General features: G+C 35.2%; 1 long non-coding RNA gene across 1 annotated transcript in view, besides 1 other annotated feature; it reads right to left on the bottom strand.

The window, feature by feature from the left end:
* LOC105370245 (uncharacterized) overlaps nucleotides 1-23599 on the bottom strand; it is a 79468-nt gene that overhangs the window by 34399 nt on the left and 21470 nt on the right. The window contains exon 2 of the long non-coding RNA XR_942035.1: nucleotides 1818-1889. This is a non-coding gene — a long non-coding RNA (uncharacterized LOC105370245). The remainder of the gene's footprint in view (nucleotides 1-1817; nucleotides 1890-23599) is intronic.
* Nucleotides 19234-20183: an enhancer, noted in NCBI's record as "VISTA enhancer hs881". NCBI's record gives its function as "enhancer in: nose[6/8]" and the evidence as "EXISTENCE:transgenic organism evidence [ECO:0001131][PMID:17130149]".

The raw sequence follows: 23599 nt of genomic DNA, 5'->3' as shown, positions 1-23599 counted from the left end.
AATCCTGAACAAAGTAAGTCCATCCTGGGAAAGGTGGTTTAAGGGCACCTGTGAATGGGGGAAAATTTTCTGTTTTATGTAGAATATGACAGTGAGGTGGATAAATTTAAAGTATAGTTAAGGCACATTATTCTTTAATCCATATTCAAATAAAATAATTTGATACTGCTACAAAAACAGCTGAATAAACAGATTCATATGAAGGAAACTTTCATATAGCAATTTGTTTTCTTTCCAACTTTTAGGTTCAGGGGGTACATGTACATGTTTGTTACAGGGTAAATTACATGTCAAGGGGGTTTGAGGATTTGGTGTACTGATAATTTTGTTACCCAGATAATCAGAATAACACCCAATAGGTTGTTTTTTAATCCTCACCCTCCTCCAACCCTCCACCCTCAAATTCAAGCCCCAGTGTCTATTGTTCCCTTTTTTGTGTTCATGTGTACTCAATGTTTAGCTCCCAATTATAAGTGAGAACACATGGTATTTAATTTTCCTTTGCTTCATTAATTCACTTTGGATTATGACCTCCAGCTCCTTCCAGGTTGCTGCAAAGGCTATGATCTCATTTTTTTATAGCTGCATGGTATTCCATGGTGCATATGTACCACATTTTCTTTATCTAGTCCATTATTGGTGGGCACCTAGGTAGATTCCATGTCTTTGCTTTTGTGAAGAGTGCTGCAATGAACATACATGTGCCTGTGTCCTTACGGTAGAACAATTTATATTCCTTTGTGTATATATCCAATAATGAGATTGCTGAGTCAAATGGTGATTCTCTTTTAAGTTCTTTGAAAAATCTCCAAACTGCTTTCTAGAGTGGCTGCACCAATTTACATTCCCATCAGCAGGGTATAAGCTTTCCCTTTTCTCTGCAACCCCACCAACATCTGCTACTTTCTGACTTTTTAATAATAGCTATTCTGACTGGTGTGAGGTGTTACCTCATTGTGGTTTTGGTTTGCATTTCTCTCTCTCTCTTTTTTTTTAATTATTTTAATTGTATATGTATATGTAATTATAATATATAATTCTGATATATCAGATTGTAAGCCTCCTGAGGACAGGGACATTTTTGTTGGTCTGTTTTTCTGTTTTGTTCTCTGCTGAATCCTCTTTACCTAAAACAGTGTCTGGCATATGGCAGATACTAAATGAATATTTGTTGACTAAGACAGTGACAAGTAATCTTAGCATACTGCAGGGCTTTTTAAGAAAAGAGGTATATACATTTCATGGAAAAATAAAACACATTTTAAGAATTTATGTCTTGTCACAAAAGCCATTAATAAATCGTATCATAGTTTAATGATGCCCATCAAAATGTGAGTTGAATGAGGACTATTGAATGGTATTAGAAGTTGAATATTCTTTTCATTACAGAACACCAATAGATAGATCTAGAATTATTGATATAATAATATTTTAAGTACTATGACCTTATAAACCTCTAAAATAAAAAAAAATCTAGATTATTAATATGTCTTACCAGGATACTAGACTAGGTAAAAATAAGAAATTCTTTTTCATTATAAACTTTTGCAATTTGATTTTTTTATCATGTGCATCTAATATTTTGATATTGAATAGGAAAAGAAGGAAAAATCAGGTAAACAAAGGCAATCAAAGCAGAAAAATCATGGGTAAAATTTTTAAATCAAGCTTTTTAAATATATTTAAGTACAGTTTGGTCTGTATCATAATGGTTGTCTTTGTGGCTTGAATAATGTTTTAAATCTAAATAAATCACATTTTTAAACTTTTTCATTTTCATATTTCAACTTGACATGATAAAGTGAGAATGTTATTACCTTTGGAATATGACTGTTTCTTGTCTCATACTATTTCTACTTCTTCTTTTTCAGAGTTTCCTGAGGAGGTACCTGTGCATGAAGAACCATATGGAAGGAAATTACTCATTTGGTAATAACTGTAAGATAATCTAATGTCATTCATTTAACATTGAGTTTCTCTAGCTTTTGATGCGGGTTATGATCTTAGGCCTGAAAATTGAGTGGAGCTGTTTATTCCTTCCTTCACATTCTACCTTGCTTCCTTCAAAGAGGACTTCAGTTTACCTAAGCAAGAAGCTAGATAAGGGATGTGAACTGACAGATCAAGCCTTATGGGACCAGTCACAGTCCAGGGATTGTTTATATCGTGGCACACAAAAGTCTCTGCATCTATAGTCAGAAAAAAAAAAAAAGTTGTATATGGCCCCAGTTTGTCTAGTGAAAAAAAATTTCTCATTCTTTGCCACGGAAAATTAAAATGAGCCTACTCACAGAGCAGTATCATCCTTAAGTGCAGAAACTTCCTACTAAAGGCAAGACCCAACAACTAGCATTCTGAGACTTAGAACTGCAACTCCCCAGGATAGCACTAAAATGAAGGCAAATAGAAGTAAAAGCTTGAATGGATGCATCTCATCCTTGCTTGTTGTGTTGACAATAAGAAATGGTAATATCCACACCCTTCTCAAAACTGAGGACATATTATTTGCCCAGTACTGAGTTCAAAGCCAGGGTTTCTTTTCCTCTTGTAAGATAACAGTACCTGCTCAAAAAAAAAAAAAAAAAAAATGCGGTTGGTGAAAGAACTACTTAAGAAATAATGTGAACTCTGGGTTGGCAGGATCAAACAAGCATTGCGGAAGTGGTACCTCAACTAGTACCTTCAAAATAGGTAAGATAGATGAAGGAGGTGTGAAGGAAAATGTAGGCCCAACAATATGGAGAGAAAACATAAAACAAGGGCTTAGAGTAGAAATGAACATGATACATTCAGGGGGAGCAACAGGCTCTATCTTAACTTGTGCTAAGAAGCAGTGAGATTTTAAAATTGCATGTATAAAGCATACAGCATTTTGAAGAGACGAGTGAGTCATGGCAGTGAATACCCTATGGGTTCTTGTCTGCTCTGAGAGCCACTCATCTGTTATGATGAAAATGTTCTGCATGTGTGTTTCTGTATAATCCTGCTTATTATGTTTGTAGATTGATGTTAGGTTTAAAAACAGGCTCTTGGTGAGATGGAAGAGCATTATGAATCTAAGTGTTAAACTACCAGTGCTCTTTAAGTGAAATGCTAATCCACACTCTGAATTGTGTAACTCTTAGTAAACCCTAAAGTGGGTGATGTAGAAAGTAAATGTGAGAATAATTGAGAACATACTAAAAGTGTGATAATCTGTTCTCACAATAGCTGGGTGGTCTTCACATTTAGGAAAATAGATGTTTAAACAAGTGTGGAAAAATGTGCTTAGGAATCAGTAATTGATTACAACAACAAAAAAAAGAAGCAAATACAATTTCCTCAGCCTACCTATAATAAAGGAAGTGAAGACTGATTTTCAGCCATCACCAACCGAACAACCAAAAGTTCCTCTGATGCCTAGTTAGAGCCAGAAGTGGTCAGCTGTCACACCATGGCAGCCTAGACAAGAGGTCACAGGACCAATTACAATTAAGAGATTTTTTACAGTGTTGAAAGGGAATCCTTATAATTCCAATTAACCTGGAAAAGCATGGATAGATTGGGTTTAATAAAAATTGCTTTAGTTAGAAACAGATTTTTCTTAGGAGTATTTTTTAATATAATTTGTTTCTTTTTCTTTCTATTTTTAGGAGGCAATATATTCAGCTAAATTAAATCTAAACATTTTTGTCAATTTTTCATCACAAGATACCAGCGGCATGCAATAGGCTTTAGTGATATTACAGACATCCTCATGACAATAATAATTGTTTGGAAAATAGGTGATGAAACTGTTTAATTATGTTTAATTTCAGTAAGTATTAAGCATCAGCATATCTTCTCACATAATTGATAAATTAATTTAAAATTCAAAGGTCCTAAAAAGGTGTTTTCACTCATCTCAGACCCACCTATTCTGAAATAGCAATCTCTGCAAAGAATCTCCTATATAATTTTTAAACTATGTATATATATACTATATATATAACTATATATAAATATATATATGAATTTTATATTAGGATAAAATTTATATTAACTGAATGTATATTATTAATGAAAATTTATTTTTTAATCATAAAGTAGAACTCACTATACTATATTATATTTGATAACAAGGAGGCAGACATGCTATAGCCATATAAGGCCCTTGCAAACAAAGCAACTAAGAGAAATCTCAGGGCATGTTACCATCCAAAGAGGAAGTAACAATGCGATTTTCAAAAAAGCTCAACAAAATTTGATATATATTAGACAAAGATGAAATTATTCTGATGTATTTTAATAACCTTAAGGTATCTTCACATGAAAGTACTGAAACATATACTTAATTTTTTATTGTTGTGGAAACAGAATTTCTATGAGATAATATTCATATATTTACACATCTGGTTTTATAATACATTTATTTCATCCAAAGAACAGGTTATAATTATTTAATCCATTCTCTGGCATAAAGAAATAGCATGATAAATATATATTGAGAGAATCTATATTTTACTATTGATAAAGCCAAGGTTCAGATAGACAATGCCACAGATCTAGTAAATGGTACAGTTGGGACATGAATGAAGGACTGTCACGTTCTAAATGCTGTGCACTTTCCACTATAAAATATCTTCTTTCTCTTTTCTTTTTATCCACTTTGAAGTGTTATTCCATTATTTTCTTTACTAAAGGTAGTTTTCTTGGTTGTCATTACTCTCAGATGGGTTCTAATACTTCTCTGGTTATCCATTATATTTAGAGTAGTTCCCATACTGAGAAACCATCTAAATTCTTTTTAGATTGGGTTTCAGTTTATAATTTTTTTCACCTTTAGTGACTTTTATCTTCTCTCAGTGTTTTCCTACACTAGATACTATCATCACCTGGCAACTCTTAAACAATTAAAACTTGAACTGAAGCATTCTTCTCCCCAGTTATCAACCAGTTTATTCATCTTAATTATTATCAATATACATTTTCTTCAACTGCAGATAGTCCTCCTGTTCCTTGAACCCTCCATTTTCGTTCTTTGTACCCCTTTCCATAATCTCTTCATTCATCATGTCTCTGAAACTTGGTGTATCATTTCAATCATTTTCTGATCCTATTTTTTTCCAGTTCTCTTTTTTCCTATTGCTCTTTAGCCACACTGCTTGAAGAAAACAACAACAACAACAACAACAACAACAAAAGCCTAACTTTTCTACACATACACCTGGCTACTAAGCACCATTAGAGATACCTGCAGAATTATGTAGATTTTTGCCAATACTAATTTATGACATTCTTCTTCACCCGGAACCTTGCAACCTTTTCCAAATTCCGTCTTCATTTCTTGCTCCCGTTTCTTATACAAACTATTTAAATATTTTGCACAAGTCTCTATAAATTGCCTTAAACTCTCCTTAAATTCCCCTCTCCACTTTTCTCCCACATTCAGAAATATCAACAATAGTGTAGAAATTGTTGAATTAATGCATATTTACATTGAAATAGGAGTCATTTAACAAGATGAATCCCAACTTCTGCCACCAAACAAATAAACTTACTTGTGTCTGCCCTGCCCTGTTCTTTAACTCTCCTTTTCCAATGGAAGCAATATCACTTACGAATTTTATGCTACTTTTTCTCCTCTCTCCTTTTATTGCTGCCCTCCTTGCTAAGGTCTATTCATTAGTGTATAAGCATTAAGTTACCAAGTTATCTCATTAAAGATCCTCAATCTGTTGGCTCTCTATCCTCTATCCTCCACCACAGCATTCTTCTCTTCAAGGTATTTTAAGAGTTTTCAACACTGTTACTTTCTTTACTTGCTCATATTCCTCACTTGAACCACAGCACCTTGATAATTGTCTCATCATCACAATAAAATTTATTTCAATAAATATTTCTCCATCTTATTACCAATAGAAAAAAATAAAATTCTTTTTACTTGATCCACTGGCAGTATTTCAAATTGCCAAACATTTTTTATACAATTATCTGTCTTCCTCCTAGTTTTCTAATTATTTTTCAATTTCAAATGTGGGCTGCCCATTCTGTAAAAGTTTTAAATACTTTTTTGTGGAATTTTTATTGATTTTTTAAAATTGTCACCATAGAATATTTACTGCTCATTTATATTAAATAGGACAGTGGCTGTCATATGGAAAGCAAGTGGTAAATATTTACTGAATGGATGAATTAAAATTATTTTTTCTGTTAAGACTTGCTGTGTGCAATGCCAGTCTGCTTCAGTTTCTAATGCTTATTTTTAAGTTATGATTTGAGATGAGTTTCTTCATTTTGGGGTATATACGGGGAATTGTGTTTCTTAGATTGTTTAGATATGCTCTGCTTAATTTTCTTCCCTTGCACGGTTAGTATAAAAAATAAGTAGGACTATAAAAATCTTTGTAAAAATTTAGACTGTATCACAAAAATTTTTCTTTTTTGATACAAAAAATTGTACAAAAAATTTGATGAGTATTAGAACCTAGTTTTGTTAACATAAACACAAGAAGGAATGGAATTTTACATTTTGGCCTAGTCAGATTTACCCAAACTTGCTAGAATCTATTTTCTTCAATATATTTCTAGAAAGAAACCCATTCATGATCATTTGTGATATGGTTAGGCTGTGTCCCCACCAAGATCTCATCTTGAATTGCAGCTCCCATAATTCCCAAGTTGTAGGAGGAATCCAGTGGGAGGTAATTGAATCACGGGGGCAGTTTCACCCATACTGCTTGTGTGGTAGTGAGTAAACCTCACGAGATCAGATGGTTTTATATGGGGAAACCCCTTTTGGTTGGTTCTCATTCTTGCTCTTCCCTGCTGCAATGCGAGACATGCCTTTCAGCCTCCATCATGATTGTGAGGCCTCCCCAGCCATGTGAGTCCATTAAACTGTGTCCACTAAACTCCGTGAACTGAGTCCCCAGCCATGTGAGTCCATTAGACATTTTTTTCTTCATAAATTACCCAGTCTCAGGTATGTCTTTATTAGCAGCATGAAAACAGACTAATACAATAAATTGTTACTGAGACTGGGTTGCTGCTGTAATAATACCCAAAAATGTGGAAGCAACTTTGAAACTGGGTGATAGGCAGGAGTTGCAAGAGTATGGAGGGCTCAGAAGAAAACAGGAACATGTGGGAAAGTTTGGAACTTCCGAGAGACTTGTTGAATGGCTTTGCCCAAAGTGCCAATAGTGATATGGACAAATAAAGTCCAGGCTGAGGTGGTCTCAGATGGAGATGAGGAACTTATTGGGAACTAGAGAAAAGGTGACTCTTGTTATGTTTTAGCAAATAGACTGGAGACATTTTGCTGCTGCCACAGAGATTTGTGGAACTTTGAACTTGAGAGAGATAATTTAGAGTATCTGGTGGAATATATTTCTAAGCAGCAAAGCATTTAAAAGGTGACTTGGGTGCTGTTAAAGGCATTCAGTTTTATAAGGTAAGCAGAGCATAAACATTCAGAAAATTTGCAGCCTAAAAATGCTATCAAAAAGAAAATCCCATTTTCTGAGGAAAAATTCAAGCCGACTGCAGACATTTGCATAAGTAATTAGGAGCTGAATATTAATCCCCAAGGCAATGGGGAAAATGTCTCCAGGGTATGTCAGAGATTTTCATGTCAGCCCCTTCCATCCCCGGCCTGAAGACCTAGGAGGAAAAAATGGTTTCATATGCTGGGCCCAGGGTCCCCATATTGTGTGCAGCCTAGGGACTTGGTGCCCTGTGTCCCAGCTACTCCAGCCATGGCTGAAAGGGGCCGATGTAGAGCTCGGGCCATGGCTTCAGAGGGTGCGAGCCCCAAGCCTTTGTAACTTCCACATGGTGTTGAGCCTGTGAGTGCACAGAAGTCAAGAATTGGGGTTTGGAAACCTCCCGCTAGATTTCAGAGGCTGTATGGACGTGCCTGGATGCCCAGGCAAACATTTGCTGCAGGGGCGGGGCCCTCATGGAGAACCCCTGCTAGGACGGTGCAGAAGTGAAATGAGGGGTCAGAGCCTGCACACAGAGTCCCTATTGAGGCACTGCCTAGTGGAGCTGTGAGAAGAGGCCCACTGTCCTCCAGACCCCAGAATGGTAGATCCACTAACAGCTTGCACCATGCACCTGGAAGAGCTGCAGACACTCAATGCCAGCCAGTGAAAGCAGCCAGGAAGGAGACTGTATCCTGCAAAGTCAAAGGAGTGGCGCTGCCCAAGACCATGGGAACCCACCTCTTGCATCAGTGGGGCCTGGATGTGACCCACGGAGTGAAAGGAAAGCATTTTTGAGCCTTAAGATTGGGCTGCCCCACTGGATTTCAGACTTGTATGGGGCCTGTAGACTCCTTGTTTTGGCCAATTGCCCCCATTTGGAATGGTTGTATTTACTCAATGCCTGTACCCCCATTGTATCCAGGAAGTAATTAACTTGCTTTTGATTTTACAGGCTCACAGGGGGAATGGACTTGCCTGGTTTCAGATGAAACATTGGACTGTGTACATTTGAGTTAATGCTGAAATGAGTTAAGACTTTGGGGGAATGTTGGGAAGTCATGAATGGTTTTGAAATGTGAGGACATGAGATTTGGGAGGGGCTAGGGATGAAATGATGCAGTTTGGCTGTGTCCCTACCTGAATCTCATCTTGAATTATAGCTCCCATTATTCCCACATGTTGTGGGAGGGACCTGTGGGAGCTAATTGAATCATGAGGGCAGTTTCCTCATACTGCTCTCTGGGTAGTGAATAAGTCTCAGGAGATCTGATGGTATTATAAAGGGAGACTTGTTTCACTTGCTTCTCATTCTCTCTCTTGCTTGCTGTGATGTAAGATGTATCTTTCACCCTCCTCCATGATTTTGAGGCCTCCCCAGCCATGTGGAATCATGAGTCCATTACACTTCTTTTTCTTTATAAATTACCCAGTCTTGGGTATGTCTTTATTAGCAACATGAAAACAGACTAATACAATTTGTAGAAACCAAATCCATGAAACCAAGGTAGAATTTATTGTTTATCATTTGATAACATTTTGATTTTGATACTTAATCATAATATAAAATTGGATCAAAGGTAAATTGATCCTCTAGGTACATACACGAGGGTTTTCTGAAATGCTGATATGCTGTCACATAATAAATGTTATCTAATATGTTTCTCAAATCTCTTATGAATTCAATTACCAAGAGATACTAAACAAAACAAGAACAAAAGAAATGATTCTAGCATATAAATGCCTTCTTCAAATGAGCCTTTGTTCTTCTACGAGGCTATGGATTAATTATCATCCTTATTCTAAGCATCTGGTTCACTGCTTTGATTTAATGAAAGGTTAGTTTGACCCCACACTCAAGCAGTCTTTATAAAGCAGTAGAAGTAACAATTATTATCTGGAGATTATTTATCAAAAGCAGGGTTTCCCAAGTATGAAGTGGTCACTATTTATCAAATAACTGACCTTCACATGCTAGATAAAGTTGACCTGAACTTTAGCTATTGCAAATATATTAAGGATACTAATTTTTCCTTCAAAATGAATGCTAAATTACCCAAGAAAAAAATACATTGTTTCTTTGAAGTGTTTACATGTTAACATTTTGCTATGATCAAGTGAAAGCTTGAAGGTTGTGAATATATACTCTAATAGTTTCTTATTTCCCCTAGATTAGTATTAATATAGTAAATGCCAAGTTACTGGCTCTTTGATGTCATTCCAATGCCTTAGGCACTTCTAAGAAACAGAAGTCGTGGGTTAGAAGGTGCCTGAAGAAAAGCGGAGAAATCTTTACTATTAACTGTTCAATATTTGAGTGTACATAGATATATACATACGTATGTGTGTTTCAGAAACAGACTTGAAAAGATTTTTGGAACAGAATCACACTGAAATAGAAAAATAATCAAATTAACATTGAAACTATCTTCTCTAAGGAAGAGATGAACTTACTGAAATTTCCCTTCCCACACCCCTTAGCAAAAGAAGGAAAGAAGCTGCCTTTTGAAAGCCTGTGGATATTTTGCACATTCTTGATGCTATAATCTGATCCTGATTAGAAGGGAAATACCGTAAAGTTAGATCAGGCTTACATAAACCATAGAGTAAGGAGATCTTGCATCTTTTCTTCCCCGCATCATTTTTGCTTGGTCTGGAAGCAGAAGAACTGAAGGATCAGAACTTGGCAGGGAGAAGCCATGAGCAAGGTACTGTCCCTTGTATCATGCCAGTGTTAGCAGAAGTTATTTTCAGATAAGGGTATTAGCTAAGGTGTTAGGATAATCAGCTAATTGATGATTTTACTTATAGTAGGAGGAGGCAGAGTTGTACCAAGCTCTCAAGTGCAGGGATATTAAGCTTCCAAGTCCTGAAACACCAGAGGTTATCTATCAATAAAACTCCCACAGCAGCTAAAGGAATGTTTGCAACTCTAAAAGTCCCAGAATAAATATTGTAGTTGTAGGATGGTTGAAACTGGTGTTACTATTCTAAATGATAGACAACTGGCTAAAAATATAAAGACTGAAAATGCCCCAGAGGTTGAGAAATCTATTTGCTCATGTTTCAGGTAAATGTTTCAAAATCTGTTTTGAAATATGTTGCTCTGAAGGGAAAGCTCTCTTTCTACTAACAATTAAGAACTACGTCTCTAACTTGTATACTTATATTTTGCCACTAGCAGTATTTCCAAAAGCAGTGGCAGTCCTACGTTCTCCAGTCATCATTCAGTAGCAAGGCAGGTTAGGAAGCTATCAAATTGTTTATCTATATTAAAACATGCACAGCTAGGCAAGTTACTAATAGAATCCACAGACTCCACGTTGACTGAATCCAGATAGAAAGATTGAATTAGCGTACCATTTTGTATTCAGTTATTCCTTCTTCACTTAGCAATGTGAATTGAGAGCCTACTAATGCCAAGCACTGCTGTAGCACACATAGAATGCGTCCTAAGCTGCAACCTAGGCAGGATTTCAATGTGCTAATTTGATGCTTCTCCTTTATTGTGACTGACTATCTTGGAACTATGTCTTATGAAGAACACTAAAGGTGGAGAGGAACAATTTGAATGAACTCCTTGGCCAGTTCCACCTCTCTAGAGATTGTAGAGATATTAACAGCCTAGACCAGTCAGAATATCCAATGACTACATTCACAAACAGAAAATAAACTCTTTAGTTAGTGTTAAACAAAATGTACGGAGTAATATGTGTTAGCAAATGCGTTGATGTCAAAAAAATACAAGTTCTCATCAGAAAAGGCATTGAGTAATGAAGATTAAACTCTGACTTGGAATTTGGTTTTATAGTCTAGTTTAAAATGAAGCAAAGTAAAGGATTAAGATCAAGCTTTCAAAAGCTTTCATAAGATCTTAGGAGACAAATAAAAAATTTCAAGCATGTTTATATTCATCTAAGTCTTCTTTTTGATTTTACTGTTTTGAAATATTAGAACATGTAATCTATTAGTAATCATTTTAGTTTAAAGAATAAAAAGAATATGCAAAGCATTCATAAATGTATTGATAAAATATTCTTAAAATACAAATCTTATTTCAGAAATAAATATAAAATATTTATTTCTATAAAAATATTATAACTTATGTCCATATTATGTACATTGTGATAACTATACGATCATCTTGCAAATGTGTGTATTTGAGAAATTTCATTTATTATTCATATGTTTACATACTGAATGACACATCAAAACTATAATACACATAAATCAAAGCTTTTTTCTTCCTGAATAATTTTTATGTAGACTTTTAAGCCAATTCGGTTGTAAACCTTTATCTTTAAAAATTTATATTTGTGGCTACAGGTTGCACTATATGCCTTGTTGGGCCTTGATGGAGCAATTGAGTCTTTCTGGAAATTGCTTCAAGACACCATCATAATTATTAACTTTCCTCTTCTTGTGACTCCAGCAGTCAGCATAGATCCTGTCCTTAGTAACTTAGTATTTCTTGAATAAATGAATAAATAGCAAACATGTCATTTGGTGGAATTATTAACTCAGGAGAGGGTTAGACATTTTTCAACAGGTTTTTTGAAAGCATACTGTGAACCACGCATTGATACAACTTACAGATATTTTATCAGCAACCCCCAAATTAGAATAAATTGACTCACTATTACTGACTTTCTATTTTATAGTTTTTAAATTACAAAGCAACAAACATGTTTTAGCATGAGGTTACTCCACTTGAATAACTGAGACATGCTGTAGGGAAAACCTGCTGATTTTTCTTTTTTTTTTTTTCTGGTGATCTATATCTACATTTTAGGATTTAGTAAAAGTAACTGAATGGCATCTGAAGGTTCACCTCACAGTGATTCTCAACCAGGAGGCATTCTGAAACTCTCAGGGAATATTTGTCAATATCTCATGTCTGAAAACATTTTTGGTGGTCACAAGATATTATGGGCATCTACAGAGTGGAAGTCAAGAATGCTGCTTACTATTCTACAAAATGAATATAGTTTCCTACAACAGAGAATTATTCAGGCCAAAAGGTCAATAAATCTGAGGTCAAGAAACTCTGAGTTAGAAGAAACATTCTTTCAGGGAATAACACACTGTATTAAAAAAAAAAAAAAAAGAGACATTCACATTTTTGAGACCTCAAAATAGGGGAAATAATTTGTGTCTAATAACGGAGCCTTAATTTCTTTCATTGTTATTGCTGAAAATAACAGAATAATGATATTTACATATATGCCTATCTATATTAAGAAAAAAATCCCAAATGACTTATACAAGTACAGGTGCTGGTACATACAAAAGCTTTCAGTACAATTAGACTAGCATTCATTCACCTCTCTCAATTCAGATTCACAGTAACTCAACAAAAAATGAAGCTGTATATTTTATCTCTAGGAAGTCATCTTTGTCTCTGTTGTATTTATGTTGCCTTTTAAACAAATGGACCACCAAATCCCAATGGCTTAATCCAATAGAATGTTATTTCTTGCTCAGCCAAAAGTCTAATACAGCTGTTCAAATTTGAAAGTAGCTTTATGCCATTTGGTGATACAATCTAGATCAGCTTCGTATTATGGTTTTACCATCTGCAGGATCTCAGAATATCTATTTTCAACTTGCAGAAGGAGAGAGCACAATAAACTTGCTTTTTAAATGCTCTAGCCCAGAGACTTACTCATTATTCCTGCTCCATTCAATTGGTGACAAGTGGTCACCTAACCGCACCTGGATTCAAAAAGTCCTGAACAGCAATGTTCCATCATTAGTTTCACATTATACAAGGAATAGGACACATTTTTTATGTGTGTGTACAGCTAGTTTTCACTGCCACAATCCAACTCATTTATCCCATCATCAACTTTGAAAATCTATTAATTACTGGACACTGTACTAGATTCGGGAGACACTTAAAAATGAATTGTTCTTGCCTTCAAGGGATGTAAAATCTAGTAGGAGACAGCCTTTAATCATCTCAGAGGTTATTCCTCTAAGTTGAAACCCTTTTGTCGAAAAAATTCAAAAGAGTCCTTTGAAATACCTCTTGAGTTTGTTAGTGTAAGTGTTATCTCAGAATCATTTATAGTTATGATCTCTAAGCACATTTAATTTTAGGGAAAGAATATAGGGGGAAATTACCATAATCAGTATCTTTGCTGGAAAGTTATAGCAAGAATTTCTAAAATCAAAGAAACCTATCACTAATAGGTGTCCCTGCTTACATAGAGGCAACTTTGGATTCTGATGTATTTCAAAAAATTTGCAAAAGCTACTTTCGTGTTTAGCTTTGCAACTATGCAAGGAAATGTCTTTTGTTCTATATTTTGCCATTTTTTTCTGGACATGGATAAATAAATAAAAATAAATAAAATAAAACTTGAAAATATGGCCACTTAAACATGTGTTGTACAAAGACATATGCCACATTTTACTATCCTCTGTGGTTACAGAGAAATCACTTCTATTCTGCTTCAAAATCAGTCCTATCCTTTCAAGCCGGTGTTTCACAAAAGTAGTCCCTTGGGAATAACCAGTTTATTTTTCTTCATTGTGACAGAAAACTTTATCTACCTATAATAAAATCCTTTTTCCTGTCTTAATAATAGACTTTCATTTTAACTTGGCACTTTACCTCTCAGAATGGAAGACTGCATTTTTCAACTTCTTTATAGGATAAGCGTGATCATGTGACAAATGAGACAGAAATGTGGTGGAAAGGTAGTGTGGCAACTATTAGATAATAGTTTCAGGGGAATGGATTCAACTCCAAAATCCATTGTTTGTCCTTCTATGTTGTTTGCTTCTACCAGTCAACACCTTGGCTCTGATATCTGCATCTTCAGCAGTCATATTGAACCATAAAGATTTCAAAAATATAGCTGTACGTATGGTATCATGAGGCAGTGGAAAGACAGGAGGCTGGGTTTCTGATGAATACTTTGGATCTGCCATACCTCAACTGAACATATCTCCAAATTTGTTTTTCAGTGAGAGAGAAATGCATTTTATCTTGTTTGAGCTACACTGATTCATTTGTTCATTTTCTGTCTCTTATTTTCAGTTGAACTTTATCGGAACAGGTACTCATAACAAGATGAGTAATGCTGGATTACACCTATACTTTCAAGATTCCAGTTAATCTTTATGTCTCTTATAAGACATTTTTCAGCTGCTCTAGAATTGGGTGATCCCTTCTCTGAACACTTGCAGAAGTTGCCATTTTTAATACTCTACTGTACGACTCCTTTTTCTGGTTTCGTTAAACTGTTGCAGGATAGCATACAACCTGAAAGGTGCACATATTATCCTTGCAGAGCTCAATGCATTTTCAGAAGGTGAATACACCCAAGTAACCATTATCAGTATCCAGGAAGACCCCTTTGTAATAACTTCCAATTGCTATACCCCACCAAAGCATAATCATTATCTTGGCTTCTATTTGTATACAGTTCAGACAAATCCAGTCTATGTTGTTTAAAATATGGTATATGATTTTGAGTCTGATTTGTTTTCTGCAATACTATGTAAGTGAAGCTCTTTGCTATAATCTGATAGTTTGTGTTCCCCAAAGTTTATATGTTGAAATCCTAACTCCACAATGATGGTATTAGGAGGTGGGGCCTTTGAAAAGTGATTAGGTTATGAGAGTTTCACTTATGGACAGAATTAGTGTTCTTAAAAAGCAGACCCAAGGGAGCTTGCTCACTCCTTCCACTATGTGAAGCCACAGCAAAAACTGGAATGTGGACGTTCATTACATACCAAATCTCTTGGCAACTTGACCTTGGACTTCCCAGCCTCCAGAACTGTGAGAAATAAATTTATGTTGTTTATAAGCTATGGTATTTTGGTACAGCAGCTCAAATGAACTAAGACACTCATTCCCGTTTTTACATGTTGTATTCATTTGTGCATTCATTACTTTATAATATTTTCTAGTATACTATACCACATTTAAAAGAAAAATTTACTCTAATAAACTGTTGAGTTTTTTCCCCTAGTTTGTGACTATTACAGTGCTACTAATATTATTTTACCCGTCTTTGGCAAAATTGTTCATTTCTTCTTTGTTGGGTATAGCTAGAAGTGTAATTGGTGGGTCACAGGATATAGGAGTGTAATAGTAACACCAAATAGTGTTCCAATGTGGCTACACAAATTTACACTCCCCACTGGTGGCCTGTAAGTAGTAATCCATATGTCTCACTGTTTATTGGGTAATCCCCATAGAAAGCTAACTAATCTAGGTTTTATTTATGTCTTCACTCTATTATGTATTGAGAAAAGGGGCACATAATTTCCATTTGCATAGCTCTCTAACCTACCACTTTTGCAGTATTCAGAAATATTTGTAATGATAGCTACTGTGTTACACTGAAAAAGTCTATTAGATTAATTATTAAACAAAGATTGCCAAAGTTAATAAGTTAATATTAATTAGGTCATTTTTAACAGTCTCAGGACATTTTTATATGACCTGTTATTGACTACACAGAGATACTTTAGTTGTTTAAATATAAGTAATACATTTAAACAAATCTTATGAAATTATTAAAATAAATTTAGTATTTTCAGGGTAATAGATAACAGATGTTTGGATATGGCACTCATGCTAACTAAAAATATATTACAAGTACAAGGAAGTTTGATCTGGTAATGAAGACATTTCTTTATATAACTAAAAGTAAGAAAGAATCTCCTACAATATAAACCATTCTTTACTGAGCCATGAACTTCACTGACCTCAGCTGGCCTAACTTGTCACTGGTAACTTGCTAGGCTTTACCACAGCCGTTGAGACTCATGGTGACATTATATTACCTAGCCACCTTTGCTCTAATCACTTCTGGCTTTATATGTACATACTATAACTTCATGGCTTTGTGGTGATAGCATGGCCTTGTGGTGATAGCATGGCCTTCTGGAAACGCATAAGTGCTATGTGCTGGAGAGAGATGTTGCTCTTTGGAGTAGGAACATTTATCTTGGTGCTAGCAAGAAAGAATTTGGATCAAAAGTGGCAATTACTAATCATTAATAATCAAGGTTAGCAGATCTAGAGTAGAGCTCCATACCAGGCCTATGCTGGAAATTTAGAATAAAAGGCAATGTGATTGTGGGAACATGTCATAAGCCATGAATATTGGAGAGAGTAGGACCATAGATAGAAAGCTGAGTTATTTTGGAAACTCCCTCCAAAACCCAGAACAGTGAGAACAGATACAAGGTTATCAGCAGGAAAGAGAACCTACCAGATCTAAGTAGAAAGCAATTATCAGGCCACAGACAAAGGAAGCAAATAAGGCTCTTCCTTGGATGACAATATTCTGTGGAAGTGGGGAAAATATGGGTAGCCAAGAGCGTCATACCAAATAATTTCAGACAGATCACACAGCCCTTGAACATGTGTATTTCACATGGCAAAGGGAGGAAAGAAAAGGAGGAAGGGGAAGAGTTGGAGAGGGAGAACATGTACACTGCTAAGCACTGAGGTTAGCAAAGTGAACTCAGTATAGTTACCACCATTACAGAATTTATGATCTAGAAGAGAAGGCAGAATCTTATATTATAGACTATAATGTTATGGGATAAGTTTCATATTAATATTGCCAAAGGTATCCTGATAGAAAGGAAAAACATAAAAATCAGATTCAAACAAACTTGAGATTCAATGCTGAGGCTGCCACTTCTTTATTCTGTTTATCTGTAAAATGGGAAGAATAATAGCAACCTGATACACATTTTTGTTATGATTAAAGGTAATGATCAATTTAAGTGGCCAGCTCTATAATCTTAATAAAACCTAATATTATTGTTTTAATGGTTTTTATTATCTTGTGCCAGGTACTTGTCTAACTCCTTTACATATTTTAACTAATTTAATCTTCATAATGTTCACATGAGGCAAGTATGGTTAGTACGTAATTATGTGTAAGAGATTTAAATCACAGAGAGGCTTAGACCAGAGACCAAGTTTGTTTACTTAGGAACTGGTTGAGTTATACTCAAATGCAAGCAGTATACATCTTAAGCAATTAATACATAATATGTTAACAAATAACAAAGTCAAGTGGGAATGCAGATGTATGTTCCACAATTCCTTTGTTTATAAGTAAACAGAAACCTGAAGTATCACAGACCAGAGCGGGTTGGAAATAAGCTTACTTAACTGAATCTCAGAAAGGTCAATGGTACAGATAGCCTTAGGATAACTGGACTCAGAAACCTGAATAGCATATTTCCTTCTCTTGCTCTTTCCTTAGTTTCCCTCTATGTGTTAATCACTCAGTGATACTTGATCCACAGCCAAGGTCAGTGCAGTGCTTGTCTGTTTATTGCCTTAAGGCTGTATAGGAAAATGACACTTATTTTCTCCAACTTTTGTTTGAACAATACCAAAGCAGAGCTCTGATTGGCCAAGATTGGGTTAATGGGCTCACCAGAAGCCAATGTGAGGTGGAATTTATGTCAAGAAAAGTGCAGACAGAAGGAGCAGGCCAAATAAGGTTACTGGGTTTTGGGGTGTGAGACATTTATCTGTCTTATTACAAAGTTCGAACTGAGTAAATTTATGTGGTTAGAGAGAAGGGGCTGGTGAATTCTAGGATGGCTTTGACTTCCTGAACATTATGCAAGCTTCATTTTTTTCTATCATATAACTTTAAATAAATTCATTACATTATTAATTATAGTTGTATCTGACAAATTTTAGACACCTTCAGTATATTCTATATGGCATCCTGATAGAAGGAGTTTTACTAAAATGAAGATTTCTGCTTAGAAGATAAATAGGACAAGAGATGTAAAATACCTTGAAAGGAAAAGAAGTCTTAATTCTTTACAAAAGGTTATCTGAATGATTTTCTTGATTATTTCCATCTTTTAAAAAGTTACATATTATGTGGTAATTGTTCTTTTAACTACCGACACAATTAATGCCTAATGCATGAGAAATATAATTTATGGTTTTACTTGGCATGTACTTAAGCACCTGCATAGCAATTACTGGTATGACATTTTTGTCTGCACTATAAAGCATTGCACATCTTCTCTTTCATCAGTTCAAAAATGAAGCAAAGAGCCTCACTCCTTGGGGAGTACCTGCCCTGATCTTATCTGGTAGAATGAAAATATGATTGCCTTCCTGACACTGTAAATTATTCTTTCCCAACGCTAGGATCATTCTGAATAGAAGTCTACACCATTAGTGTGACTCTTCTGCTCTATAGGAAGTTGTTTTACCTTTGCAATACTTAAATAGAAGAGCTTTCTTCTTTTTTTAAATTTTAAGTTATATAGCAAATGAACATCACAAAGGAGTATTTCTTATGAAATACAGGATGAAACATTTCTCCCTATTGTAATGACTAATATGAGGATCTCATTCAAATGGTGAGTGAATATCAAAACTAGAGTTGAATGAAATTATATTAATTTCTTTATTTGAAACAAGTAGTTAAATGGCTCTCTTTGGTGAACTTTTTCTTTGGCTTTTTTCCATTTACAATGAATCGGAAACACAAACAGCCAATAACTGTCACCACCTTGAAAGTAAAAGTGAAATCCTTGTTTGTGTGGTCTCTGTAGACATTTTCATGCCAAAGGTTGTGATTTCTCCAAGATTCTTATTATACCAAATGACCTCAAATGCTTTTGGATGAAGTTGTGCACTTGTGTCTGGTTTTTCTCTTACCTGATAACATTCAACTTCTTTTTTTTTTTATCGTTTTTACTGCTTTTCTATAATGTCACTTGATTTTTCCTCTTAGCCATTAATTTTTTTGAACTAAAAGGAAAAAGACCGCATTTTTAATACACCTCAAAATGCTTTTCTATTAAACTGTTCTTGAAAAACCTATTTTTCATGACACAATTGCAGAATAAACCTATGGTTAATACCTTATTTACACAAACGGAAGGCTGTTACATCTGTGTTTGGCGACCTTGAAACAGTATTGTGCTCTGTGCCCTTTTTATAACCTTAATTACTGGGGAATACAGAGCTTTAAAGAAAGACTAACATTTCACTTTAACATCCACAATAATCTATTATAAAGCCAGCTAAGCCAGTCCCAAAATACAGAGAAATGTTATTACATGCTCAGCTAGCTGTCAAGGGGCCATGAGTCAGTGGCTTACAGTTATCAAAAGTAACAAGGTTGTTCAGAATTTCCTCCAACAAAGCCAGCCAGCTTATGGAAGGATTAAGCTCTCTTTGATTAGAACAACTGGAACATGTCCTACCCCTTTAATTAGCATTCCCTTTTGCTTGGTGGAGGCTGGTAATTTGACACTCACATTAGGCATCTCAAGAAATGATTTGGTATATTGTCCCATTCATGAGCATTAGAGCCATGGTATATACTTCTGCATCAACTAAAATTAGAGCTTCCAAAGGATTTATGTTCAAAACCCTGTAAAATCTCAAGGGTACTATGCCCCTAATAGACAAAATGTAATAACACTCTAATATAATATGTGGCTGGAGACTTGGTTAGCCTTTAGGCATAGTGTATTACCCCAAGGCCATGCTCTTTTTGCTTTCTATCTTTGGGAACAAAAAGTTTTATGTCAGCTTTATTGATAATTTACCAGTTTACATTTTAATTCATACCTTAAAGCATTGCAGCAAGAAGACCTCTACTTATGCTGCTGGGTTACTTAGTTGGTGAGTTAATATAATTTTTCAGTGACCACACTAAACACAGCAGAGCAGAGACTACATAGAATCAAAGCAGGAGGTGACATGCTGCCATTCCTCCAGGAGCACATATTCTATGGAAAGCAGATTTAGGCATAAATATCTGCTTTCCCCAGTTTACAGGCTGTTTCTATTTACACCATTCTCTTTTTATGCACCCCTATTTGATTTGCTTCATTTTAATATACTTTCCTACTTTTCTCCATACAGTATTTCTTTACTCTTTCCTTCCCTCTACACCCCCTCTTCCTTTGAATGGGTAAGTATTGAATAAAAAATTTTTCCATTGTGAAATTGCATACTTTTTTTTTTATTATTATCCTTTAAGTTTTAGGGTACATGTGCACAATGTGCAGGTTAGTTACATATGTATACATGTGCCATGCTGGTGTGCTGCACCCATTAACTCGTCATTTAGCATTAGGTATATCTCCTAATGCTATCCCTCCCCACTCCCCCAACCCCACAACAGTCCCCAGAGTGTGATGTTCCCCTTCCTGTGTCCACGTGTTCTCATTGTTCAATTCCCATCTATGAGTGAGAACATGCGGTGTTTGGTTTTTTGTCCTTGTGATAGTTTACTGAGAATGATGATTTCCAATTTCATCCATGTCCCTACAAAGGACATGAACTCATCATTTTTTATGGCTGCATAGTATTCCATGGTGTATATGTGCCACATTTTCTTAATCCAGTCTATCATTGTTGGACATTTGGGTTGGTTCCAAGTCTTTGCTATTGTGAATAGTGCCGCGATAAACATACGTGTGCATGTGTCTTTATAGCAGCATGATTTATAGTCCTTTGGGTATATACTCAGTAATGGGATGGCTGGGTCAAATGGTATTTCTAGTTCTAGATCCCTGAGGAATTGCCACACTGACTTCCACAATGGTTGAACTAGTTTACAGTCCCCACCAACAGTGTAAAAGTGTTCTTATTTCTCCACATCCTCTCCAGAACCTGTTGTTTCCTGACTTTTTAATGATTGCCATTCTAACTGGTATGAGATGGTATCTCATTGTGGTTTTGATTTGCATTTCTCTGATGGCCAGTTTATTTATGTTATATGTACCAAAAATCATAAAAGTAATAAGCAGCTTGTGGAAATGAAACCCCGTTCATTCATATAGCTTTCAATGCAATTTGGAAAGAGAACTGTAAGAATGTGAAAGAAATGAAACAGCTTAATTGGAAAAAGGAAGACCTAATTGAAATGCTTTCATGTTTAGTACATTCTATTCTACAATTGAGTAGCTAATGCATTGATTTTATTTCTAAGGGGATGGACTATGTTTTTCTTCTAAGCTACACAATTTAGATTTAAATTTCATATTTTCTTCACATAATTGTCAGAGAATCATATATCAATGAAAGATTGTCGTATATTTTAGTCTTTCAAGAATGCATCTAAGTACTCTGGTACTTACACGTGTATACTAATCTATTCAGCCAAATATTTATGAGATGCCACTATTGATGAGTGGTACAGAAAGTATTTGAGAAGTCAAATGAAATTCCTCTCTATCCTCAAGGAACAGATAGGCTAATTGTAACTTCTAATAAAAGGCACCTCACTTAATTTGCAACACAATGAGAAGCTTTGTTATTACCTCTTTGTTTAGAAGCCATAGTTTATCTTTAGTCTCAGTTGTTTTTGTTAGTGTAGTTGTGTTTTGGGGTGGTTTGGGGAGAATGTGCCAGATAGGGGAGGGTTTTGTTTATTCTCTAATTAAGATTCATAAAATTGACTAGTCTTTTCTGAGAGTCTCTTCTTTCTTTATGAAGTAGAAGGTGGAATCTCAAGCTCAGAGTAGAGACATGGGTTTGGAGATATAATGAGGGTGGAGGAGGTTTTAAATGGCTGTTGTGGATAATGGGAGCTAAGCTGATTCTGGAAACATGGAAGAGTTGCCTATGTCCCACCGAGAGCCTAAATTTCTAACTGCGACATTTTTCTCCAACAGCTCTGAGCATACCAGGTGTACACAAAGAAAGACTGAAGATTATAAATTTTCCATGCTTATCTATTGGACGAAAAAGTTGCCTAGGAGTTGATAAGATTAAAAATAGACAATTTAAGAAAACACCAAGAGCAAACTCATTTTCCTGTAATAAGGAAGGCCTCAAAATTGTATTCTAATAAATATTTACTTTAGATATTAGGGTGTGATGTGGAACATGACAGGTCCTACTAGGCTATGACAAGCATAGCTCTCTGCCGCTTTTCACATTTTTTTCCTTAGTCTTGAATTAGGATTAACCTCAGAGGAGCATGCACAAAATTCTTTAAAGTTACAAGTACAGATATAGTTTCCTTGTGTGTTTTATTTTTAATTCCCACTGCAAAAATGGTGTAAGTCACCTACCAACAACAGTTCTTCCAAAAGTTACTATATAGATTTACAATCACTAGGTGTGTGATTTCTGAAATTATTTTTAAACCTCTAGGGCCATGCATCTTTGAAGAATATACAACCTATGTTCTAACACATGGAGACATTTTCCCCGGGCCAAAAAGAAGAAAAGTACTATAGAGAACAAAGTTATTTGTTTTATACTCTAACTCCCTCGTGCACCATGTTAAGCCACTTAGAATGGGACCAATGGGTCAGATTAGTCCTACAGGTTTGATTTGTTTCGTCCAACTAGCATTTAAAACTTTTTCAATTTGAAAAGGTTCTCCGTGGGCATGCACTTTGCAGTTTACACACTCTCCTTCTCTTTTTGTATTATTTTGCTTCAGATTCACCTATTTATATTGCTTTCCTCCATAGGCATCTGAGATAGGAAATACTGCTTTCAGCCTACATTCTACCTCATTACATGTTAATAATAGTAAGAATAAATGAGAGTGAAGAAAGTTGCTTGATTTTAATTGAATAAGGGTCATAATTTAACGAGTACAGATGATTAACAGGTTTTTTTGAAAATGTATTTCTCAGATTAATTATATAAAATAGATACTTTTATCTGCATTTTATAGGTAAGGAACTAAGTTTCATTGGGTTTAGAGTATCTTCTCACAAACACAGTCTATAAGGAATAGAACCTTAATTTAAGTACTTTGGAGTCTGTCTCACTCTAGTTCTCACAATATTAATCTCAGCTCTACCACACAACTTAGGTTTTTGTAAGAACATTTCTGTAGTCTCAAAGAAAAAGAGAGGAATTATTTTTAACTGCTCCTATAAATCTTAAGAGGAAAAATTAAGATCATATTATGTTCTATAAAGGTTTTAAATTTTATCTTGTTCAATGTTTAAAAAAACTATGAAGCTTGAAGAGGTTAAATAATTGCTCAAAAGTTACACGCCGCTAGGTAGGCGAATTTGGATTTAAATCTGTCAAATGCAGAATGCTAACCTCCATAGCACCAGTGAGCTACGATTCAAGAATGTTTACTTAGACCTATTGTAATTAAAAGAATAGGTTGGCAGACCACCAACCTATACTTTCTAATCTG

Source organism: Homo sapiens, chromosome 13, assembly GCF_000001405.40.
Source record: "Homo sapiens chromosome 13, GRCh38.p14 Primary Assembly".
NCBI lineage: Eukaryota > Metazoa > Chordata > Mammalia > Primates > Hominidae > Homo > Homo sapiens.
Note: the sequence above shows the minus strand (reverse complement) of the source record. Positions and strands in the feature narration are given on the sequence as shown.